This window comes from Homo sapiens, chromosome 18 (assembly GCF_000001405.40).
Source record: "Homo sapiens chromosome 18, GRCh38.p14 Primary Assembly".
NCBI lineage: Eukaryota > Metazoa > Chordata > Mammalia > Primates > Hominidae > Homo > Homo sapiens.
Genome location: NC_000018.10, coordinates 9,194,031 through 9,221,358, shown reverse-complemented (window position 1 = coordinate 9,221,358; position 27,328 = coordinate 9,194,031). Strand labels below are relative to the sequence as shown.

The 27,328-nt window shown below is 33.9% G+C and overlaps 1 protein-coding gene across 20 annotated transcripts in view; it reads right to left on the bottom strand.

Annotated features, from left to right (window-relative positions):
- ANKRD12 (ankyrin repeat domain 12) overlaps nucleotides 1–27,328 on the bottom strand; it is a 149,205-nt gene that overhangs the window by 64,627 nt on the left and 57,250 nt on the right. For 6 of the 20 annotated variants that reach the window (XM_005258093.5, NM_015208.5, XM_011525638.4 and 3 more), the window contains 5 exons: nucleotides 25,661–25,808; nucleotides 16,815–16,883; nucleotides 12,556–12,702; nucleotides 9,575–9,775; nucleotides 4,459–4,601 (listed from right to left, as the gene is read on the bottom strand). In XM_005258093.5, the coding sequence (XP_005258150.1) occupies nucleotides 4,459–4,601; nucleotides 9,575–9,775; nucleotides 12,556–12,702; nucleotides 16,815–16,883; nucleotides 25,661–25,808 (708 nt within the window). The remainder of the gene's footprint in view (nucleotides 1–4,458; nucleotides 4,602–9,574; nucleotides 9,776–12,555; nucleotides 12,703–16,814; nucleotides 16,884–25,660; nucleotides 25,809–27,328) is intronic. The other 14 variants (XM_017025663.3, NM_001083625.3, XM_047437390.1 and 11 more) reach the window with 3 other exon arrangements.

Genomic DNA, 27,328 nt, shown 5'->3' with positions numbered 1-27,328 from the left:
ACTCCAAAGCTTAAACTTCAAGACCCTTCACTTTCATGGGTCCTTTACAGAAGGATGCTGTATCTAATGTTGTAGTCATCACTTTGAAAGGCCTTCTCTCCTTCTCTAACGAATTACGTAAGCTTCAAGTTCCACATAACCAGGTTCTGCTCTGTTAGTTATTACTTGTTTTTTCTTCATATCCTCTTCCTTTCATAGTTTTAACCTCTTTTTGGTTGGCTCCTTTTTAGAAGCCAATCTTTCCACAGTTCATATTTCTTGCACCTTAAAAAAATAATGGTATTAAAGAAATGAAACACGGACAAAACAAGGAAACTTTGCTGAAACCTATATCGTCCTACCCTAGCTAACCTTTCTTCTTCACTGTCCATCTCCTGAAAAGACATCTGCCCTTGCAGCTGTTACTTATTGGCCCTTCACTCTTTCACCTACAACTCTGCTACCATCAATCTTATGGAATGGCCCTTTTAAGACCTGAAAAGATCTAAACCAATGATGGTTTCCCTATGACTCTGTCCTTGATATACTCTCTCATGTTCTAATATATATCATCTCTTTGGAGAACTTATCCACTCTGAATGTGATGACAATTATGCGATCCATCCATTCATTCTCTTGTCTGCTTTCTCTCTCAGCCCTTTTGAGCTCCAAACCCAAACATTCAAATACTCACTGGACACATCCAACTGATTCTATGTGTATTTTAATACAAAAGCATAAAACCAACAGGACCCAAATGGAGTTCACTAAACCTGTACTATTATCTTTTATCTATTTCCATTCTCAGTAACTGGCACCAAAATTTTCCCAGTCACTGAAGCCTTGAAGCCAGAATTTGGGAGTCATCGTTAATTCTTTTTCACTCACACACATCAAAGAGGCAGCCAGGTGTTATTGATTCTGCCTCCTTACCATCTCTTCTTGTTTTGATATTTTGTGCATTTCCATTAACACTGGTGTGTTCTATCATACATAAGCCTATACCACATTCATTAACACATTTCCCCCCTTGGACTATAAGCTTCATATAAAATCAAGTCTCTATTCATCTCTGTATTTCGAGGACATAACTATGGTGTTTTCTGGTACTTAGAAAACATATCACACCTTAAAAAATACTTAAATGAATAACATGAAACAGATGAATATTAACTGCATTTACCATCAAAGGAACAATTTAAAACAAGATGCTGAAATTAGAAATTTGTAACAAATTATTTAAGAATGATTCACAATGAATAAAGAAAAAAACTTTTCTAGATTACTGCAGAAAATCTGAAATGTAATAATGTATAAAGAAAACAACTTACTCATGATACCAACTATTAACTGTTTAATTTTTATCAAATTACACATGCTTACGATTTTAAAAGATCAACTAGGTTTCCAAGTCTGCTGGTGAAGAACAGTTGTCCCTGATACTTATCTCCATATTCCAGTAATCTACCCAGGGTGAGAGAGGAGCAATTACTGGGCTGTGTAAGACTGGGGAGAGGATGTGAGAGCTAAAAAACCTTTGATCTAATAGTCGTTTCCATATCTTAAGAAGCACTTCCAGAGGTCATTGGTACTATCGATTCCTAAGCTTTTTTTTTTTTTTCTTTTCTTTCTAGGATTCTGTGTTGTATGGCTCTGGTTTCAATTTTCTTGTCTCTTTTAAATCAGAGGTGGGCAAATTATGACCTACGGGCCAACCTGGTCTGCCAGCTAAGAATAGTTTTTATATTTTTAAAGGACTGTTGAAGGAGAAGAGGAGAGGGAGGAGGCAAGAGGAGGTGAAGGAGGGAGTATGTGGCCTGCAAAGCCTAAAATATTTACTATTTGGCCCTTTATTGAAAAAAATTGTCAAACCCTGTTCTACATCAGTAACTGCTCATTTCTCCAATTTCTATCTTCCAAAATATTTGTTTCTTCTGTTCTTTGCCCTTGTGGGTCTATCCTTTGAAACTGCCCCTTACTGTCATTTTAGGGATTTGAGAAAGTAACTGAAATAAAAATCTTCTAGTCATTATAAATAATACTGTAGTGGATATCTTTATGAGCTGAAATTTTTCCAATTTTAGGCTTATTTCCTTAGACTAGAGCCCTAGAATGAGAAAACAGAATAAAGAATTTTGATATTGCTGAAAGCTTTCTATCCCCATCAGGAATACATCAATAAATACTTATTACATGACTATACAGAATCAGGTACAGCTGGTTCATTCACATATTACAAACACCCTAAATCAAATAATCAAGATTTTACAGCTCATCCTCAAATGCAAATAATTGTTCTTAAAGTTGCTTAAAACATAACAGTCAATAAATTAGAAGTAGGTAAAAATGATGACAAAAGATGATACGTATCTAAAATAGAACTAGAAATAAGGCTAGTATTAAAATGTGTATTATGGTGAGGTGCCACCGGTGGCTAATGCCCATAATCCCAACGCTTTGGGAGCCTGAGGCAGGAGGATCGCTTGAGCTCATGAGTTCAAGACCAGCCTGAACAACACAGGGTCTCTACAAAAAAAATTAAAAATTAGCCTAGCATGGTGTGCGTGCCTGTAGTCCAGCTACTTGGGAAGCTAAAGCAGGAGGATCACTTGAGCCCACGAGGTTGAGGCTGCAGTAATCTGTGATTGCACCACTACACTCTAGTGTGGGTGATACAGCAAGATGCTGTCTCAAAAAAAAGAAAAAAAAAAAAAGAAAAAAGAAGTGTTTTAGGAATTACTATACATTTACAAACAAGTCAAAAATTAGGTTCTTAGTAAGCTATGTTAATCCTCTCTATAATAATTTAGATCTGGCTACAGAACCGTTATATTTCTGCTTTTCCCATCTTAAAAAAATGCTTTATGGATGGCTGAAGTTGTCATGACTATTACTGAAAGAAAGAAATCTAATTATTTGGGAGTGGCTCAGAATACACATTAGGGATATACAGAAATGAATTTTTGGTGGCTCTCATTCTTCCTCCTAACGCACAAGTAAAAGGAACAAGGAGAAAATAGCTCTCAATAGCTCTTCAATGGTGACTCCTACTATCCTAGGCATGTTGGTAGGAGGAAAAGCAAAGGTCCCTCCCTCTGGGAAGAGACTGGAAATAGTGTGAGTCCTTGTAAGTACATGAGCTCAAAAGGTCAGCTTCTGGAAATATTCTGCAGCTATGTGCATATTTAGAAACTTGTGTTCACAGAAACCATGTCTTAGTCACAGGCATAATTCTTTAAAATTACACTTAGAAATCGGGAAACCTTTATTATCATATTCAAAGGAAAATCATTCATTCTTGGTAAACTATCAATAATATTTTTTAAAAGGGCACTATTTAAAATATCAAAGCCAGAAAGTAAGTCAGTTTCCGATAAATTCAAAGGAAAGGGCAATGTACCCTACATGTTGTCAGGCCTGATGGATTAAGTTTTTGTCATTCTGCCTATCCTCAGTCAGTTATCCATTCATCTACCTATCCATCTATCTACAAGTGCATCCATGATGGATATACTGAACATTTCTAGGTGACAAGCAGTTCCAGAGTAAATAACAGAAAACAACATAAAATGCCAGTATGCATGGTAGTACTTGCAGTCTAGTGCAGGAAACATGACACTAGACAAGAATATCAGTAAAAAATAAGGTAGTAAAATGCTATGATATAGGTTTGTACAAATTGCCAAAGGAGCACAGAGAAAAGAGTAGACCACTGGTAGGCAAGAATCAGTTTTAAAAAATTATAGGCTACATTTTTCTTCATTCAAAATAAGACTTCTTTGCTGAGAAACATGGAAAAATGCCTTATAGAAATGTAATTGAGAAAAATAGCATTTTTAATTTCTGAATTTTAGGTGTATTTGACTGCACCCACAAAGGCAGCTTTTTAATCTTTTACCCCTGATACTTCTAGACCATCTTAAATTTCAATGTGCATTTACATGTAGTGTCTTTTTTTCCTTTGAAATATCAATTTTAGATAGGTATTATTTATCATATAATTTAAAGATGAGGAAACGGAGGTTCCGAGGAGGGAAGTAACCTGTTCAAGATTACACAGCTAGTAAACTGGCCAGGCCAGAACTGCACTTGTATCTATCTTTACTCCAAATTCTATTTTTGTCTCAACTAAAGTAAAATGCCCTTCAAAAGATAGGCAATTCAACACTGTACAATTTTTACTATATATAAAGACTGCTTTAACACATCCAATTGTCTTATAAAGAATGCCTTGAAATAAAAATTTTGCCAAATTATTTAATCAACTGTCAAATTAAAAGGGTTTTATGAAAAGAAAATGCTAAATCTGACTATGAACTAATACTTAGTAGAAAAAAGGGAAAACAAAATATAGATGAGTTGTTCAAGCAATGAGTGGAATATGACACAGATCATATGACTAAGAAGTGAATGAAATTACTTTGGGTTGAATTTATATTTTGCAAATGTGTATTATTGATTTTTTTCTATCATACTTACATCTCTGTGCCCACTACTAGCAGAATCATGGAGTGGAGTGTCATCATCTAATCCTTGTGTGTTAACATCTGCTCCAGCTGCTATAAGTATCTTAGCAACATCGTAATATCCAACATTGCAAGCTTCATGCAGTGGTGTCCAACCTAAAGTTAGATTATTAATTTAACATGATTCACTTGCGCTACTTCAAAATATATGCTTTTCATATACATACCAATGTGTGACATATAAATTCTAAAACTGCACATCGTGCAAAAAAAAAGGAGTGATGAAGAAGCTACTAAAAATAAATAAGAACAATATCAATTTACTGAAGGTTCATTCAAGATAATATTACAGTTGACCCTTGAACAAGGTGAAGGTTAGGGGTGTTAACCCCCATGCAGTCAAAAATCCACATATAACTTTTGACTCCCCAAAACTTTACTAATAGCCTACTGTTAACTGGAAGCCTTACCAGTAACATGAACAGTTTGACTAACACATACTTTGTGTATGTATTATATACTGTACTCTTACAATAAAGCTAGAGAAAAATTGTTATTTAACAAAATCGTAAGAAAAATCTATTATTCATTAAGTAGAAGTGGATCATCAAAAAGGTCATCATCATCTTCACGGTGAGTAGGCTGAAGAGAAGGGAGAAGGGGTTGGTCTTGCTGTCTCAGAGGTGGCAGAGGGAGAAGAGGTAAAAGTAAAGGTGGGAGAGGCAGGCATATTTGGTGTAACTTCACAAAAATACATTGTAAATTTGTGTCTCACTTTTTTGCTTTTTCATTTCTCTAAAAATGTTTTAATACAGTGCCACCCTCCTTCTTCCACTGTTTGCTTTAGTTTCAGTGCCTGGATCATACAAGGATTGGTGTTTAAAAAAAAAAAAAAAAAGTAAAAGCAGCCTTAAATTATTGGAACCCTCTAAGGTCAATCTGTTTTCTGGCATGGCTTCTTCTGTCTTCTTCCTCATCACTTGAAACTGTTTTGGAAGCATTCAACTCCATCAAGTCACCTATTAATACCTCTGATGTGGTATCTACTAGCTCCTCAATTTCTCCAAGATCCATATTTTGAAACTTTTCACCCGCTACCTTTTTTGACATATCCACAATCTCTTTCATGATTTCCTTGACTGGTTCTGTGGTAAATCCTGTGACGTCATGACAACATCTGGACACAGTTTTCTCCAGGAGGAGAGAGCTTTCACAGCTTTTTCTTTAACAATGACAGCATCTTCAATGGTGTAATCCTTCCAGACTTTCATGACATTCTATCGGAGTTCTCTTCTACAGCGTTGACAATCCTTTCCCTGGAGTACCGTGTGTAATGAGCTTTAAAGTTCCTTATGACCCTCTAATTAGAGGCTGGTTTAGAAACACCATGTTTGTACACCACTTTAATGCCTTTGGTGTCGAAATCAATTGGTTCTGGGAGGCCAGAGGACACTAAAAGACAGCCTCCTTCCTGGCAAAGTACTTCCTGACTTCAGGAAGAAATTGATGACATCAATCCAGAAAAGAGTTCTCATTGTCCAGGCCTTCTTGTTATACAACCAAAAGACTGGCAGCTGGGTTTACCTTTTCCCTTCAGGGTTCAGGGGGCAGTCCTGATCATAAACCCAACTGTATTTACATAAAACAGGAGAGTTAGCTAATCCCTTCCTGCCCTAAATCTTGGTGCTTGCTTCTCTTCCTTACTAATAAATGTCCTTTGTGGATTTTTCTTTTTCCCAGAATAGGGTACTTTTGTCCACATTAAAAAACTGTTCAGGCAGATTTTCTTTTTTCCTCACTGATTTTCTTAATGGTATCTGGGAATTTATTTGCTGCCTATCAGTGGACTGAAGCCACTTCTCCTGTTATCTTGACATTTTTTTAAACGAAACCTTGTTCTAAAATTATTAAACCATCCTTTGCTGGCGTTAAATTCCCCAGCTTTAGATCCCTGATCTTCCTTAAAATTGTTGTATAATGACTTCATGTTTTCTTCAATCTAATCTATAGGTACGCCTTTTTTATAGCAATCTTGCATTCGCATAAAAGCTGCATGAGATAAAAGAATGTTTTACAAAAAAGTGCAACGTTTTCAAACCCACTAGCATAGCTCCATCAATGGCTTCACAAATTTCCTTTCCTTTTTTCCACTGGTCCTTATGCTGGATTCGTTCATCTTCAAATGGCAGGTAACCACAGCTGCAGACCTCAATTTATAGTACATTATCAAGCAATTCAATTTTTTCTTTTAATGTCGTAACTCTTCTGTTTCTTAGGAGCACTTCTAGTATCACTAGGAGCACTTAAAATGGGTCCCCTGGTATTATTCAAGGCTTACAGTATTCTACTAAACACGATGAAAAATATGCAAGAATCACACATTTCACTGTGGCATGCAACTTACTGGAGAGACGAACTGCTTATGTGGAGATGATTTGTGTCAGTCACATGGTGTTTTAAGCAGATAGTCCCAATATTTGAGCTCACCACAATGGTAACAGGAGGTAGCTATGCAATTATTACAGGAGTATAATATGTACTACAGTAAATTTTATGCAGCTATGATTTAATACTGCATCTTTATGTTTGTTTACATTTCTCCTGATTCTGAATGGTGCTATGTATAGCCTATGTCTGTATGCATATGTTTTAACTTTTTAGAACAGATTTGTGTATATTTTATGGTAGTAAGTGATAGAACAGACTAGTATGTAGGTATCTTTTATGCACTTATAATGTATTTAATTTTTTCCTATTTTCACTATTTCTAGGCTATGCAGTTCATCTATGAGTTTTTCCAAATTGTTCCAAATCTCAAAAAAAATTTCAAATATATTTACTGAAAAAAATCCACATATAAGTAGACCTACACAGTTCAAGGGTCAACAGTATTTCCACTGTGCTAAATTATTTGACAAAAGTATTAAATATTTAAGCTTTCCAATAAATATAAGCTTGATATAATTTTTAATAATCATTTAAACTATGAAAAAGAATTTTAAAGAGGCAAAATATTAGTAAGCTTGATTAGAGTCTTTCAGTAAACAAAAATCCTGATGTCTTAAGGGCTTTATTCTGTTGATACAATATTTTCTGGACTTAATACTTATTTTAACTAAAATAAACTTAATTACTTTTGTAATTAAAAAGTTACATGTTCACAAAAGAAATATTAGATAACTTAAAAATACAAAGAAAATAAACACTGTCCATAATCTCACCACCCAGAAATAATAATTTGAAGAATCCAACATAATATCTACTAGCTCTCCCACATATTTATAAAACTTAGATGAATAACAACCTGCTTCCTCTACTTACTAAAGTGAAAATAATTCCCTATGTCATTATACTTTTCTACAACATAGTATTGTACTAATCAAATATACCATAATTTCCTTCAACGAGTTCCTATTACTAAGGATACAGATTGTTGCTAGTTTTTAATTAGAAACAATGCTGTAACAAGTATCCTTACAACTAAATCTTCATGTACATCCATGATTAACTATTTAAAATAAATCCTTGAGAGTGGAATTGTCAGATGAAAGAAATATTTTTTAGGTTTCTGATAAATAATGTCAAGTTTTCCTCTAGAATAAATGCCATGCATTTTAAGTCTCACTCTTTAAGGTAGATACTGTATATCACACCATTCCCCACTCACAGCAAATAAAGACATAAATTCCAGGTGTATTATAATAGGGCTACATGTAAAAACAAAACAGAAACCAAATTTGAAAAACAGAAAATATAGGAATAGTTTTATGATACAGAGAAAGACAAGGCCTTCTTAAATAAAATACCAAACCAAGAACCCATAAAGCTCAATTGATATGATACATAAAAGATGAAAACTGTAGTACAATAAACACTGTAATGAGAGTGTATTCAACCTAAGCCACAGACTGTGAAAATCTTTACATATTTGATAGAGAAAATCTAGACTAAATAAAGGCTCTTGTAGATTAAAAACAGGACTAAACCAAAAGAAAATGAGCAAAGGAGTGGATCTAACAATTCATAAAATACACATAAGTTTATAATAAACATAAGAAATGTTTACCATCACTACTGATCATGAAAATCCAAATTAAGATTTTTTTCATTCTTCAGATTGTTAATAATTAAAAGTTGATAATATCCAGTTTTACTGAAGATATGAGGAAAATGGCTCTTTTATATACTCTTGATGGTAGTATGAATTGATACAGAATTTTGGGGGGGGCAATTTCCATTATTTCAAAAATCTAAAACATGTATCTCCATTGATTTAGCAATTTCACTTCTACTGAAATACTTCCATAAATATACACAAAGATGTTTCTATATAGGTATTTACTACAGTGTTGCCTACGGAATGCTATACCAGAAAATATTATGCAGCTATTAAAAATTAATGGAGTAGGCCTACCTATATATACTGTAAGAATATATAGAAATATCTGTAAGACATTAAGGCAGGTTGCAGAACTACAGATTGATACAGATGGAATGATTTCACTTTAAAAAGCCAATATATAAGTAAGTATTTGCTTTATACATATATAATAAAAATGAACTGAATGAGTAACCTCCTAAGCGTTAACCATAGTTCTATGGAAGAGAAAGAACCTGTGTGGGAGGGAGGGTAGGGTTGTGCAGTATGTGAAATTAAAGAAAATTTTTGAATTGTTCCCTACATACTTTTACTGTTGAATTATTTACAGCAAGAATGTACTGGTATGCTACTTGAATAATGAAAATGAAAGTAATAACACCACACTCTTACAGTCCTCATGGTTCAAGTTAATAAATGTTCTTAAAATACTTATGAATGAATCAACTACTTTGAAAACATATAACTCAAATTCATCTAGGGCAAAACCTAACTTGGATAAAGAACTATACAGCAAGTAATATGTCAACTAAAGTATAAGTTTAGTATATAAAAATATGAGTAATTATTGACATGGAATTGTAGTAGAAATCAGGGGTTTTATGTACGAACTCCAAAAGTTTTGTAATAAAGAGTATTTTTAGAACTCTTTCATTTCAGCAAAATGAATAAAAGAATGTAGATTAAATTGTAACCAGGATCTGTTTAAATTTTAGTGCCTGAATAGTAGGTATTGAATTACTAGTCTTACCTGCAAAATCTTTCACATTCACATTTGCCCCTAAACTTATTAATTCTTTAACTTGTTTCACATCTCCTCGAATAGCAGCCATGTGTAAAGGAGTTTCACCACGTTCATTTCTTTTATTAACTTTATCTTTCTGTCGAGATGAAGAACTGGGAGTTTTCTTTTGGGCAGGCGTTGTTTGTGATGGATGATTTGGTGTGGAATCTGTAAGAAAGAAGAAAGTTAGCAGAAGTTCTAGGCTAAATATTCTGTATACTTATTTAAATGTTTTTATTGGTAATATGCTAATCTCCTGAAACACAAGGAATGCCTTCTCACCCTAACAACCTAAACCTTGACTTGGATGATCCGTTAATGACCCAAATACACAGAGATCTTCCCTTCAGGGTTATCAAATATCATTAGCCAATTAAAAAAAATGTTTTGTCAATTCATAAAATTGGTTTAAAATGATAAAGTATCAAATACGTACTCTAAAATGTTTCCTTAATGAATGATGTGATGAACTATGAAACATTTTTCCTAGGTATGTTATGCTATTATTCTAAGACCTAGAGGAAGTGAAATTGAAGGCTGGAGTCCACACTTCTGACTCAGACAAAGCATTGGAGTTCTTCTGTTCTTATATTATGTGCAAATCAAGGTCATAACGATTTTACTATGAAAATGAAAGAGAAGAGCTACAAAAAATAAGGGTAGTCTGGAAAAGGGCCTTTAAAAACTGCTTTGCCTTGATTCTCATATTTTGATATTTGTTCTAGTTTCTATATTTAAAAAAAAAAAGTTAAATTAGATGATGCCCAAAGTCTCCTCTCCAATTTCAAAACTACAAAAAAACAAAAACTGGTTTCTTAATTAAGGATTCAAGACATATATACAGTGTTAATTAATTCTGAAAATTTACAACTATATAAAAGGAACTGCTCTAAGAGAAAAGAAATATATGGAAAATAATTTTTACCAGTTTAAAACCTGACACGATTAGAGCTCTAAGGCAATACCATCCTTTCCTCAATAAAAAAAAAAAGTGTAAGGTTCATCTTTTGGATTTTTTTTTTTTTTGAGACAGAGTCTCACTCTGTTGCCCAGGCTGGAGCGTGGTAGTTTGATCTAGGCTCACTGCAACCTCTACCTCCCGGGTTCAAGAAATGAAATTCTTCCACCTCAGCCTCCCGAGTGGCTGGATTACGGGCGTGTGCCACCATGCCCGGCTGATTTTTGTATTTTTTAGTAGAGACAGGGTTTCACCATGTTGGCCAGGCTGGTCTCAAACTCCTGGCCTCAAGTGATCTGCCTGCCTCAGCCTCCCAAAGTGCTGGGATTACAGGCTCGAGCTACCATGCCCGGCCCTACCTTTTGGATTTTAAAGTACATTGTCTCGGTAATAGTTTCCTACAGAAGTTTTTCTAGAAATTTACACTCCCAAAGAAAAGGGCCTTATCTATCTTACTCATCACTGCTTAGAAGACTTCTCATATACCACAGCGGTATTCAAGAAATATTTGTTGAATGAATAAATTTTAATGTAATCCTTATAGTCAAATTATTTGTGAAGAGAATTTGCTTGCTGAATTTCTTAAAATCTAAAGACTTATCTAATGAATAAAACAACCACAAACTCCAAGTATATCTGTATGATGGCAAACTGCTTGATATTTCAAAAGTTTTCCATTCTAATTCTATACATATTAATAGAGAGTTGACTAAGAATCACCCTTAAAAAGACCAACTGCAGAACAGTATTATAGTGTACTCCTATTTATACTAAAAAAGAAAAAAAAATTAACCCATAACAAAAGATACGTATTTGTAAGTTTATGCCTAGAAAAGCTACATAAATAAAGATAAGAAACTGTTAACAGTGGTCACCTCTTGAGGGGAGGTGATTGGAGATGAAAGACTTTTACTTTTTGTCTGTTGGTCTTTTAATTTACTTTAAGGACAAAGGTTCACGCTATTTTAAAAAATCAGTTTTAATAAATGTCTTTCCATTTAAAATATTAAATCAGACTTAAAGTCAAAGTCAAAATTTTACAGAAACAGTCAAAGTTTTTACATGGCAAAATGACTTTAATTTGGTCACAGACTTTCCCATGTTGGAGGTGGAAAAGGTAGGAGTGAGTAACCACAACGTACTCTATTTTTAAAAGCAGGAAGCCCTAAAACATTTTTTTAGCAGTGACAGATATTAGATACGCTCATGCTTTGAAATTATAATATTTAGAAACTCTTAAGAATTTAACCATGTCATCCCGTTTTTTAAAAAGAGGCAATACAGGAAAAACTCACTGAAAAATTATCTTTTTCAATGCATTTCAACATGGACTGTTACGTAACCCAGAGTCTTACATAAAATTGCTTTGAATTCAGGGCCAAAAGAAATTTTCTCCAGACAAAAGTGATTTACTTTCTTGAATCAGTCAATGAGAACTATGTAACTCAAAAATTTTCTTTTGTACTTTTAGCTGCCAGGATGTGAATAGTAATAACTATCTCAGGCCAGTTGCCTGGATTTTATCTACCTTTTTAGCTCCCTTTTATAAATTACCATGTTGTTTGGTTTGTTCCCTTTTTGTTTTTGTCCTGCTGGTAAGTCATCATCAATTATTTTTGGAGAACACAGTATATAAATAAACATACATACATGTGGCACAACACCTTAGCTGGAAATGTGACATGAAATATAAAATGACTGTTAATATACTGCTGACATTTTTCCTTATAAAAAAATTTAGATCTTAATAAAACATGGATTACACATGGTGTAAAGAGCCCTACTCTTGTATAGCTTCTACTTTAGCAGAGGATACAGATGATAAACTGTCACACAAATAATCATAAAATTACCACTGACTTACAAGTAATTCTGATTAAATCCAAGAAAGAATAAAAATTAAAAGTAGTTAAAATAATTGTTAAGACGAGACTACAGTTGCCTGAGGAAAACTAGGGATACACATTAACTCAATGATGGTAGGTATCACCTGGACTGTTGTCTCTTGCTGTCATCTGCATAAGAAGTGCCATCTGTTTTCGCTCAGAGAGTGGATAACCAAAAAGAATGCTAACTGGTGTGGATTTCTTATTTCCAGCTTCCTTTTTTGTCTTCTTCTTTTCTGGACCTTCTTTCTCTGGAATTATTAACAAATATGTAAGAATTTGAAACAAATCCAAGTACTCAAAAGCAAGTTTAAGATGAATTTTTTGATAGATGCTGTACATATATATGAGAAATGTGTACAATATATGAACTAGTAGTAGCCAGACAAAAGCACAATGGGTTTTATATTATATAAACAATTTTCTTCCTGACTGCTTTGAAAAAAATATATTCTTAATTCCACTGTTTTCAGAAAATTAGTAATACTTGGGAAATTTATTACTAGTAAAATTTTACCTTAATGACTTGTTCTAGTAAAATTTAATTCCTTGATAACAGTGCAGACATTCTTTAGTATTACATCTTTGAAACCTCTTTTATTCACTATAATTTTATTTGTAATTGCTGATAAGCCTATATAGCAATGCTCCTTCAAATTACTTCCTTAATTCCAGCAATGATTTATACAAACTTCCAACGAGCTAAATATTTAAGACAAGTCTTATCACACAGAACAACTATCGAAAAAAAGTACCAAATCATTTTATTCCAGTCATAGGATAGCTGAACATGAAATGACATTAGTCAAAGCCAAGAATGCGCAAATTAAAGATTCTGTGTGGCTATGGGTTAACAGATCTTGCAAAGATCCAAAAATTTTCAAGGACCTTTTCAAAGAGATCTGACCCATCATCAAGTTAGCTTTCAGATTTAACTATCTGGGAAACCCATTAGCAACGCAGCCTGCGTTCCCCATTAAGTGTCAGCAAATTCAGACTGAACTGAATTCTATAAGCAAGAGATACAGATGTTTGTCTTTTCTGTAAGACTTCTCTGGGAGTTAAGGCAGGTGCTCTGTGCAACCAAATGCAGAGGTCTGGCTATTACCTGTCCATCTATTTCTTGGGAAACCCTATACAAATATCTGGAATGTACTGATCCAGGTTTGAGGGTACCTGCAAAGAGGAGCTGCAAAAATAAATAAGTAAAATAAAGAATATTCAAAAATAGCAAAAATGGGAAAAGGAAAGGCTTAGTAGTCAAAATAGTGTCTTTTTTCAAGCAGATATGAAGAGCAGCTAAAATACTCTAAAAGAAAAGCATGTTTTAATCTAGCAAGTTTAGAAAACTAATTAAAACCTGATATTATTAGCAGGCATAAGAAATTAATAATTCTTCCAGTGTGCCACTTAATCAGGATACTCTGTCACCTTTATGGCTGAGAAAAATCAGAGCTCCTAATTTTAAAAACTCTGCTGTCCACAAATCTTTCAAAATTAAACATTTCCTAAAAAGTCCATTTTCTTGAATATTTGGTTTTGCATAAAAACAAAATTTCAAGACTTATTTAAATCAACTTTATTTTTTTCCAGTATAATCTTTTCATATTTATTATTTCATTATCATTAATGATCCAATTTAGCATAAATCCAATCTTAGCACAGTACTTTTCCTAACTTACGCTGCATTATAAAGCCCTAAACAGATTTTTGGAGAAGCCAATTTTTTCCTGAAGCATATATGGATTTTTTCTCCTAATTTTCTGCATATCTTGGTTCTCTAGTATTTAATAAGCAACTACAAGTGTTGTTGTTTTAATAGTTTTCCATTTGAATAACAAATCTTTAACTATAATGAATGTATTTCTCTCCTAAAATAAATATATTTAACATTGTGAAAATTTTATAGAAAATAGAAAAGATGTTTCAAAGACAAGAAATAAAATCTAGTAATTAGAGGAAACAAAAAATACTTAGCATCTATCCTCAAAATATTTTCTAAATATTGGGGAAAATTTTGCATTTTTGTTTGTAAAACAACTGCCTTTTTTGTTTTGACTGCATTTTAACACAAGGTTTTAAAAAAGCCAGTCTAACATGATAAAGTAATACATACTCAGGCAACAGTAAAAAGATACTTATATATGCATCATTAGAATGCCATGCTGCCAAATAAAGATGTAATTATTTTGGAAAGAAAGAAACAAATTGGATATATTCCAAATATTTAAAACAAAATTCGAATCAGATGCTAGCATCCAATATAAACTCTATTTTCTTTCAGTTACCATAGTCATATGTCTGAGTTCATATTCTGCATGAGACAGCAAAGTAAGAAAACAGCAGCCGGTGTAAGGCAGCTAGGATAGAGACAACTACACTGTGTGTTAAAACTGTGTTAGACTAGTATGTCCCAAAGTATGCGTTTTCAAGTTAAAAGCAGTCAACAAGACTATCTGGGATTTGTCCTGTAAAGAATTTGTTTCCTCTGACCCATCATAAGTAAAAAAATGATAATATATTATATATCTTATAAAGAGTTAGCTACTTCTCTTGTCAGGAAGGTGATTAAATAATACTTAAAAAGTTAGCTACTTCTCAAGATTCAGTACCTGCAAAATGTATTTACTTGCCCTAATAATAGACAAGAACTTTGAAGTTTAAATGTAAGTATACTGACAAATGTGTTCATTTAGCATAGTCTACTATAAACTTAAGTTCCATTCAGACAGCCTAGGGATTTTTTAAGAAAATATACAAGAGATTCACTTAAAGACTATTCAAAGCAAACAGAGAAATGGACTTTTCAACGCTCCAACATTCTTTCAAGGTTTAGAGGATCTTCAGATATACAAAGATGTTCCAGTTTTATAATGCTGAAAATTAATGCTTTCTTTTTAGGTCTTGCCAGAATAAATAGAAAGCTCAACATCTTCACATCCCAATTAAGTGTTAAGTACTTATTAAGGAGAAGAGACAAAATTGTTTTTCTTAGGGAACTTGGTTCATAAACCTATTAGTGTCTCAAAAATTAAAGAATACAACATCTTCCCACAAAGTAGTCACTATAAGAATCAAACAATGGAATCACAACTCAAATATAGATGAACATAATTAAGTCAATCCTGTTTGCAATGTACATACTTCAATTCTGAAAAAAAAATTTGCCATTACTCTCTGGTTCTAAAATATCTACGTGAATCTCCAATTGAATGTCTGCATCTTTTGATTTCCGGCAATGATACTCAGATTATGGATGGCTTCATATACATACAGCTCTTTCAGGGGCACTTTGGGTACTTAGAAGTCACCTTTTAGAAAAGCATGCCTAATTCCACAGTAACTGACTGTAAATATGCCCCACCCCCTCAATTTTGGTAACCAGGCACTACTGACTTATCAGCTCAATTAAAACTTTTGGGATAATTTTAAGAATTATTATTTGGTTCTTCCACTGCCCCTAACCCAACCCCACAAATGTATAAAATAAATAAAAAGTGTATAAAACAGGTTTACTTTAGTTTTTATAACTAAATGTCATATGCTGAAAACTAGACACTTAGACACCCAGGGACTAAAAAAAAATCATATTTTTATTTAAGCTCAGAGATAACAATGTTAGCCAATTTAAAAAAAGACAATCAAAAACATTTAACTAATTAGCTGTCACATACTAGAGAACACATTTACTCTTTATTTTAAGAGGACACAGTACTTGTATATCCTCTTGTATTCTATCTGGAGCAATTACTGACCATTAACATAAAATAACAGGTGCCATAGCTTAATAGAGAGGTTGCAACACAGTGGTAATGGCATTTCTCTAGGTAACCTGGTATTTTAATTCAGTTATAGTTAAATTTAACCTAGGCAACAAAGTCAATAACGGCTAATGAATTCAATGGAAAAAAATTGTATTAAATGTGTTTTTTAAAAAACATCACATGACTAAACGGTAAGATGACACTGTCTATTGAAATCAGTACACTTGGTATACCTTGTGAAGGGTATACAACGAAACACTTGGGGATCTTCCCATAGGAGTCACTACACTATGCACCACCAGGGGTTGACTTTCACATTGTTTTCTGCGTGAATGGTGTTCCCCACATTGTGCTGTAAAAAACTGGAGTGGAGGTATATGGCAGTCCTGCTACAAGGTTCACACATAGCTTGTGTTAGATATGATACACTGAGTACCTAGGAGCAAAAATGGGAAAATGTGGTGTCACCCACGTAGTTCATTTATTTAACCAAAGATATCTATATGCTGGTTTGAAAGTAAGTTACTTATAGTACAATAATTAATTGTAAATGTGACAGAAACCACTGGCTAAACAGGAACACCTGATAATCTAATTACCTGAGTATGTCCTGTAAGAAGATATAAGTCTCTCCCCCCAATTTTCACTTGTATGTCCTGGATCTGAATCTACAGAATGAGAAGAGACAGGAGAAGAGAAAAAAGCACACGGAGGGAAATGCAGAATTCAACAAACCAACATTTTTCAAAAGACCACCAGTTAATAAGCTATTATTGTTTTGCCAAAAGATTATTTTTAAAGTAAAGCCAAAATTATATTTAAAACACAGGTTTGGTCAACACCTAATATTTCAAATTTTTCAACAAAAATATCTTAAAGTTGGGAAATTCAACCATGCAGTTTCAATAACAGGTATTACTGATGTTATATATTAAAACACACTATCTTTTTTGAGGCTATATATTTTTTCAACTTCTGAATAACAGTAAAAGAGCCAGTACTCTATCGCTGGTTTTCTGTTTAGAACTTGTCTTACACTTTTTGTTCTATGAGTGCCAACTCGACTCTGGAGACAGTAAAACACTTTGGACTGCAACATCATCCTACACCACAGACCTTTCCACAAATTATATACACTTCAAATGGTATAAATTACTACAGTGATTACTACTGAAGACCGTCTGGAAAGAAAGTAACCTAAATCAAAACAAAGTTTATCAGTTAAGAACATGGAATTCTGGCCGGGCACAGTGGCTCACGCCTGTAATCCCAGCACTTCGGGAGGCCAAGGTGGGTGGATTACCTGAGGTCAGAAGTTCAAGACCAGTCTGGCCAACATGATGAAACCCCATCCCTACTAAAAATACAAAAATTAGACAGGTGTGGTGGCATATGCCTGTAATCCCACCTACTTGGGAGGCTGAGGCCAGAGAATCACTTGAACCCAGGTGGCCGGGGTTGCGGTAAGCTGAGATCATGCCATTGTACTCCAGCCTGGGTGACAGAGTGAGACTCTGCATTTAAAAAATAATAATAATAATATATATACACACACACACATATATATATATGGAATTCTGCCTAACAATTCATGACAGAGAAATATGAATATGGACAATTGACTTTGGCAATATGGCCAGAGCAGACATTTTTACTTATAAATATATTTTGACTTATAAATGCCATTTCAACTCACAATATTATTGTGTTCTTCATATCCTTAACTGTCAAACTTTTTTCCAGGATCACTGTTACACAGTATTCATGATTTCATTTAGGTATAAGTAACCAAGTGTTCAAAAAAAACAACTTAGAGAACAAGTAACCCCTAAGCATCGTATTTGAAAATTTTACAGATAAGCCTAAAAGTTTAGTGACGAGAAGGTTCACTCAACTGAAAGAGGAATCATCAATAACATTTAGACCAACTCTAAAGTAAACAGGTAAATGGGCTGAATGGTAAAACTTTCAATGAACACATATTTCAAAATGGAATACATTAAATTAGCAACCACAAAAATTTCATGAAAAATAATATTTGACAAAGACAAACAAAAAAATTTAAATAACCACCATAGATTGCAAAGCAAACCAGCAAACATTAAATTGTGCCAATTGGATTAAATGAATTATTGAAAGCAGATATTATTTTAATAGATTAAACCACAGTGAATAAACTAAGCTTTCAATTATATTAATGTAGTTTACCAGTTTATCCAAATCATCCTTTGGAAGTAAGCAACCACTCTGACCCCACACACTCTTTGGCTTTTACTCAAACAGGTATGTTTCTATTGGGGGCATCTGAATAGTCTATAAAGCTTTAACTCAGGAACTGGAAAATTAAAGCTTCTATTAACATTTCCCTGTCCCCTTCCTCAACTACTTCCTTTTATGCTGTACTGAGACTAGGCTGTATGAGACTACCACTGTTTATGAGATTGAGATTGATGCAAAACACTGAGTGCTAAGCAGAGCCATTCTCTCTCCCACATATGTTCCTTGTAGCGAGGCAAAACAAGTGACACTTGTATTTTAAAACCAATCTTTTTAAGTTAATACTTTGCTTGGGTTGCAAGGAAATAAGAGAAAAATACCAAAAATAATTTTAAAAGCCTGTACTGTATGTTTGAAATTTTTATAATGAAATATCAGGAAGGGGGCAGAAGTAAATCTATCATGAATAACTGCCATGAAAAAATCACCAAAGGTGATTATTCTTACTAAGCAAAGCACTAATTTTATCTATTTTAATATAGTTCCCAGAAAAATTATATCTATCTGTTTTGTTTTTAAAAGAAGCTCCTCTCCTCAAATTTGACTGAGTCACATTATAATATGGTAAACCCTTAAATGGCATCTAAAGTCTTAGGAAAATAGAACTAAGGCTGGCTGGCAGAGATTTTGTTAATAAAATTTCAACATATTCTACAGCTGCCTCTGTAGACTTTGTGAACACATCATACTGTGTTCTCTGAATTTTCTCATAACACATTATCTTTTTAAAATGCCAAAAAAGGCTGGGCGCGGTTGCTCACGCCTGTAATCCCAGCACTGGGAGGCTGAGGTGGGTGGATCAATTGAGGTCAGGAGTTTGAGACCAGCTTGGCCTACATGGTGAAACCCCATCTCTACTAAAAATACAAAAATTAGCTGGGTGTGGTGGCACACGCCTGTAATCCCAGCTATTGAGGAGGCTGAGACAGGAGAACTGCTTGAACCCAGGAGGCAGAGGTTGCAGTGAGCCGAGACTGTGCCACTGCACTCCAGCCTGGGTGAAAGAGCGACACTCTGTATCACCTTAAAAAAAAAAAAAGCGAAAAAAACTAGTAAACTATTTGCTTACTAATAATGCTAAGAGGAAACAATTATTCAAAGAAAAAAAGTGAAAGATATTCAATCTTTCTGATTATTTAAACATGCAAACTAAAATGACAAAGGACTACTGGTTTATCTCTACAGAACATCAGATTTATCAACCTAAAGAAAAACATGTCCCCCAATGCTATTTGAACTTAAAGAACATTCATATACTGCTGGAGGCTTTCTAACTAGGTATAATTATTTTGGAGAAACATGAAGAATCACAGAAATGTTTAACCCTTATAACACTGTAACCCTACTCTTGGGAACGAATAAAGAAATAACTCAGGGTATGACAAACATCACAATCTGCAAAGATGTCTTAATGGCATTTTTCATAACAAAAGAATTGTAAATTAAGTTTGAGGGCCAAGAAGAGACTCTCTCACATGTAGCCTCAAGACAGCTGTTTAACACTTTCACATTAAGAGATTTTGGCTTTCCCTTGGACACCGTTAAGACTAGGAAAGAAATTAAGTATGATTTTGTGACTGATAATGCAGGAATAAAGTTCACTTAGGTGGAAACTTTATTAATTATTAAAGATAACAAAAGTTATCAGTTACTGATTACACTTTATATATGGGGGCAGATATTATACGATACCTATACAATATTCATTCTCCTTTTCTTACCAGGAATACCCCAGTTTTGATCAGGGAAACAATATGCCCGGCTAAAAGTATGATTTTTCAGACTCCGCTGCAACTAGAATAGGCTAACTAATCAGATGCAGAAACAAAAAGGCCAAATCTCACCAGGAAAAAGACACTTTTGTCCTTGGTCTTTTCCCTCCTACTTTCTACCCAGGAAGAAGCAATAATCTTGTGATTATAAGGCAAAATGATTAAAGACAAAGCCCATGTATGAGCTAAGAGTGGCAGAGCATTAAGATGAAAAGAGATCAGTGCCTGATGGCATTACTGAACTGCTATGCCAACCCTGTACTGCCTATACCTGGCCTTCTTACTGCATTAAATTGTAAAATTCCTATGTATTTAAACCAGTGTTAGTTTTTGGTTATGTTTAATTTAGTTTTAAAAGCTAAATTTACATGCTATGTCACTTGAAGGTCACAATTCTCTGAAACTGATACTATTATATGTACTTTTACAGATAAGGAAGCTGGGACTTACAAAGAAGTCTAATTACTGGGCCAGTGCTCGTAGGGGGCTTAGGGTCAACACTAGTCAGATTCCAAAATCTTCAACAGTAAACACTGCCATGATTTACCTCTGTTACAACTATAAAATTTATCCTGTCAATTCTAGAGTAGGAGAGAATAAAAGGAAAAGGTAAAAATTAGTGATAAAGCAAGCTGATGTAGGTGTAAGAAATATCTTTTAGATAAGCAGTTGCTTTTTGCTTCCATAGGTTCAATGGGTCACTGTATACATTGGCTTAATATTCCACAGGACAAAATTTATGGGAATTCTTTGACAGAGTAAAATAATATGTTGGTGATTTGTTTAAATAAATTAATTCAGAATAAATATAGTACTACGATAGAGCTACAAGGACCCACTGGCCTGATTTCAAATTATGTTGTAATTCATTCCCTAATTTCTCCTGTCTAGCCAAGCAATTACTTTTCTAGAAAGTGTTTTCTTTTTTAAAAAAATTAGTAAGTATTAAATAATTGAGAATTTAGAAAGTTTAAGACACACTACGATATCTCGCAAAATGAAGGCTAGGAATCTCTCATTCAGTAGACAGCATTACTGCTGATTTGGGGTGCCAGTAGGCTTTCCTTGGACAATGCTATGAATACCTCTTTTAAAAAGTAGTGACTTTATAAAAGTAACATATGACCATTATCTCAAGAATTCAAGCCATACAAAAAGGACCAAGAAGGAAGTAATAAATACCCCACATCCAAGAAATAAAGTGTTAACCTCTGGCAAGCATCATTCCCAGCATCCCTCTAAACACATAAAACAACAAAGGAACTAGCAGAGACAGTAATAAATTTATGTAAGAACAAGAAAATAACATACATATGCTGTTTTGAAATAAAAGGCTTAAAGATTATTTTAATCCAACATTAAAAAAAACTAAAGGCATTGCTTCTTTATAAAAGACACTGTCTACTATAAAATATAAACAAAAATATAAAGGAATTTTAAATACAGGAACATTAAAAAGTTTATATAATCATTTTAAGAAACTATATACTTGTTTAGATAATATCAGTTAATCCCTTGCTAGAGATAAGATGATATGCTTTCTCCTTATTCCCTACCCTTTTTTCTGTTATTTCCTTACGTCAAGGTTTATAACATTTATATTTTGTTCTGTACCCAAAACACATCCAACAGGTACAGTTCCTACAGTGAAAAAAGTCTTAGTCTTAATCTTTCCATGTGTTAATATACATCATGTGTGCACGTATATACACACAGTAAATGTAAATACACAAATTACAATTTTAATGCAAATAGCACATACTGTTTCATAATCTAATTTTTTACTTCCAATATCATGATCACCTTCCCATATTACGTATTATTCTACAGCTGGAGTACAGTGGCATGATCACAGCTCACTGTAGCCTCGACCTACCAGGCCAAGCAATACTCATGCATCAGCATCCCGAGTAGCTGGGATTACAGGCACACACCACTAAGCCTGACTCATTTTTTAATTTTCTTATAGATATAGGGTCTCACTCTGCTGGCCAATCTGGTCTCAAACTCCTGGCCTCAAGTGATCCTCCTGCCTTGGCCTTCCAAAGTGCTGGGATTTCAGGTGTGAGCCACCATGCCCAGCCTTACTACATTATTTTTAAGGGTGAAAAATCTATTTCTTCATTGAATTTATCATAATTTAACAAATCCTATATTACTCAACACAATTTTCCTGATTTTTTTGCTATTATAAAGAAAGCTGAGATAAACATTCTTAAAGATAAATGCTCTCATCAGTAATTATTAGAGGCCAGGCATGTTGGCTCACTCCTGTAATCCCAGCACTTTGGGAGGCTGAGGCTGGCAGATCACTTGAGGTCGGGAGTTAACAGCCTGGCCAACATGGTGAAACTCCGTCTCTACTAAAAATATGAAAATTAGCCAGGCATCGTGGCAGGCGCCTGTAATCCCAGCTACTCGGAAGGCTGAGGCGGGAGAATCACTTGAACCCAGGAAGCAGAGGTTGCAGTGAGCTGAGATGGCACCACTGCACTCCAGCCTGGGCGACAGAGTGACTCTGTCTCAAAATAATAATAGTTATCATTATTATAATAAATGCCCAAAGAAAAAATTAGTCAGATGTTAAGAAACAACTTTTTATATACACTGTCCTATTTACCTTAAACAAAGTATTTCTATAATTTAGACCCACTAAAGCAAATTCCTATGTCCAACCCATAACCACTGGGTGATTCAGACCAAAAACAATTTTGTCATTCACCATAAATTGTATTTCTTGATTACTATTGATGTATTTTTTTCATGTATTTCTTTCCAAACTATAATTGTTCTGAACCACTTGTATTTTCTGGTCCATTTTCCCATTTTTGAGTTTCCTTTTCACACTTAGAAGATCTTTAAATACTACATATATTAAGGGTTTTGATATATGCTGTAAATGTTTCTCCCCTCTGTATCTTTATCTTCACAGTTTCAGCTAATAGTTTAAAATACAGAATACTACATAAAAAAGATCAATGTCAGATATGAAGTCTGATGCTGTATCTTTCATATGGGAAATATCACTTAATGGTACTGAATTCTACTTTTTAAAAAAAAATTATATAAAAGACACTTGAATCGTAAATAACACATTTTGTACTGGGACTAGGGAAATCCTCCTTAATGTTTTCACTGTGTTGTGATATGTTAAACCAAAGACGTCATCTATTACTAAAATTTATAAATAAAGCCTACCAAAAATATAAATACAATTGACCTTGAACCACCTGATTTTGAACTGCACAGATCCACTTACACAGGAATTTTCTTCTGCCTCCCTGCATCCCTGAGACAGCAAAATCAACCCCTCCTCTTCCTCAGTCTACTCAATGTGAAGACAATGAGGATGAAGATCTTTATAATGATACATTTCCATTTAATGAATAGTAAATATATTTTCTGTTCTTTATGATTTTCTTAAGTAACATTTTTTTCTCTAGCTTAAAGAGTACAGTATATAATAATATAACACGTCATCTCAGGTAACAGTAAAGAAAAAAATAACGTAACACACAAAAGATGTGTTAATTGACTGTTTATGTTATTGGTAAGGCTTTGGTCAAAAGCAGGCTATTAGTAGTTAAGTACTTGGGAAGTCAAAAGATACACAGATTTGACTGTGTGAAGGGGGAAAAAGGGGGTTGGCGCCCCTAGTCCCCACACCATTCGAGGGTCAATTGTGTTTTAAATCCATCAAAATTTTGTTTGGTGACAACATGTTAACTTTTCAAAAGGAAGAATAAGTGTTATGAAACAGTCTTATAGAGAGCTGCGATATCCCAACTAAAGTCCAACGGTAGAAAAAATCTAAGGGGGAAAAGTGTATATAACCCAATTTTAGACATATGAATTAGGTTACATTTATTCAATGCCTAAATTTCTTACCTTCCTAAGTAACATTTTCTCCTTAATTTTATTCTAAATAAAAGAAAAATAATCCATCTGATCTAATGACAAAGGCTCTCATGAAAAGATTATCTTGAAACTTTATTCCTTAAAAATATTAATATTTTTTGAATTTATCAAAATCCATTTTTCGAACAGCTATCAGAAATATACTCTCATTGGAAAACAAAACCCGAGTAATGTAATTTAAAAATGACTAGCAAAGAAACTTTTAACAATATGCGAGAAGAGTTCAATCTGAAATAGCTATCCCAAAGGCACATAAGCACCCTCTTCTCAGGTAAGCGATCCAGTAATTAGCTTGAGAGTATCACTTAGGATGCTTCGGGGGGAAAAAAAAAAGATTCTGAATCTCTCAAAGAAACCAGTGTAGCTTAAAATGAAAAAGCACATGATTTCGTAATCACTGCAAGACAGAGCAATCTTCAAAGTTTAAAAATGTCATGAGTGTTTAAGAACAATTTTTAATTCACACAACAGCAGTGGCAAAATACACAAAAGGAGACCTGGCTACCAAAAGCATACACTACATGATTTTCTAAAGCTATGTTAGCATAGAATGTTTCAAAAATCTTTATGAGTATTTTCAGTTTCCAGAGTCAAGATCATTTCTGAACTGACAATTAAAATGACTAGAAAGATATAGGCAGAATATAATCTATGTACGTAAACTCAGAATGGAATACTTTCTCTGAGGCTAAAACATTTTTAAGAACAGTTCATTATTAATATTTCATGCAATGACTAAAACTACAGTAAATACATACATTCAAGTTTATATTAGTTTCAAAAATCGGTTAGTTCAGGGCTAAAACACAACCTAGTAATTTATTAGATAGCAATAAAAAGAATCTCATCCGTTATGAATAACTGGGATTGGCTGATTTCAAGTATCAATTTCTGGTATATAGGAGTTTTGGGAAACAAAAATTCTATGAAAAGCACTGAGGCAGTTAGCCTCAGTGTGTGTGTGTGTGTGTGTGTGTGTGTGTGTGTAAAAATTCTATGAAAAGCACTGAGGCAGTTAGCCTCAATGTGTGTGTGTGTGTGTGTGTGTGTGTGTGTGTGTGTGTGTGTTTGCATGTTTCTAATTTATTTCTGAATCTAAAGTGCCTAAACTTCTTTGGGGTGTGACCATATGTTCACAAAAGCTCAACAACTTTTTCTCAAATCTGCATATCCCAATGCTTCCTTATCACTGAGTAATTTTTATTCATTTGAATGCTCCTCCCAAAATTAATTTCTTGATAAAGAAATTCACAATAAACATTCAAAGAGTAAGGAATAAAGAAAATTGTTTTTATCTCTGGTTAGAAATCACACTTGGCATGATAGATGGAATTCCTACCCCAAAATGATAAATCTGAAATAGTGAAATACAAATATTTCTCTATAAACTGGGGTGTCAAGAGGAGTGGTGTACAAGAAACAAAAATCAGAATTAAAGAATGGGCAAGATTTTACCAGAGAACAGCAAATTATTCTACCTGTGTCTGAATCTCGTTCTTCATTTCTTGATGGGCTAATAGTAAAAGGAAGTTTACGTTTCATGGATGATTTCTCTTTCATCTCCTTGCTCACATCACTTCGTTCAATTTTTGGAGTTTTGCTGTAGGATGCAATCTTGTCTTTACTCTATTAAAAAGTCAAATAGAGTAAAGTTATATCAATATTAGCTAAGCAATACAGTATAGAAACCCCTAAGGAAAATTTCAAACATACACAAAAAGAGATAGTATTACCTATCACTGTATTCAATGTACTCAAGACCCAGCTTCAACAAGTACATTTTTTCCTGTTTCATATTTCCCTACTCTTATTTAATAACATAATTTTATATTTATTTTTAAATATTTTACGTTCAGGGGTACCTGTGCAGGTTTGTTATGTAAGTAAATTGCATATCACTGGGGTTTGGTGTAAAGATTATTTCATTACCCAGGTAATAAGCATAGTACCTGATAGGCAGTTTTTTGATCCTCTCCCTCCTCCCACCCTCCACCCTCAAGTAAGCCCCAGTGTCTGCTGTTCCCTTCATGTCCATGTGTACTCAATGTTTAGCTCCCACTTATGAGATCATGTGGTATTTGGTGGTTTTCTATTCCTGCATTAGTTCACTTAGGATTATGGCCTCCAGCTCCATCCATGTTGCTGTGCAAAAAACATGATCTCATTCTTTTTAATGGCTGCATAGTGTTCCATGGTGTGTATATACCACATTTTCTTTATCCAGTCTACTGTTGATGCGCATTTAGGTTAATTCCATGTATTTGCTACTGTGAGTAGTGCTGCAATGAACATAGGCATGTATGTGTCTTTTTAATAGGACAATTTATATTCTTTTGGGTAAACAAAAATGGGATTGCTGGGTTGAATGGTACTTCTAATAACAATTTTAAAACAACAGTAAAACAAAATATTTTGAATAGAACCATTATATCTAGATGTAGCGCCAATGAATATGTAAATTTTAAAAAGCAATTCTGAATTGAATCAAACTGATGGTATTTTATTTAAAAAATAAAATTGGCTGGGTGTGGTGGCTCATGCCTGTTAATCCCGGCACTGTGGGAGGCCACAGCATGGGTATCACCTGAGGTCAGGAGTTTGAGACCAGCCTGGCCAATATGGTGAAATCCTGTCTCTACAAAAATACAAAAAATTAGCCAGGTGTGGTGGCAGGTGCCTATAATCCTAACTACTCAGGAGGCTGAGGCAGGAGAATCACTTGAATCTGGGAGGCAGGGGCTTCAGTGAGCTGAGATCATACCGTTGCACTCCAGCCTGGGCAACAAGAGCAAAACTCTGTCTCAATAAATAAATAAATAAATAAATAAATAAATAAATAAATAAATAAAATTATCTATATCAGTAGTTCTCAAATGGCTTCCTGACTAGCAGTATCAGCATCACCTAGAAACTTACTAGAAATGCAAAATCTCAGGCATCATCTCAGACCTACTGAATCAGAATCTCTGGGGCTAGGGCTTAATGATCTGTTTTAATAGTCCTGCCACATAATTTTGATGCATAGTAAAGTTTGAGAACCACTATTATTTACCAATAAAGAAGAAAATATGTAAGGATCACAGGAACCAAAGAATAATCTATCCAGGCCAGTAGATTACAACCCTATTTCTTAAATCAGAAAACCA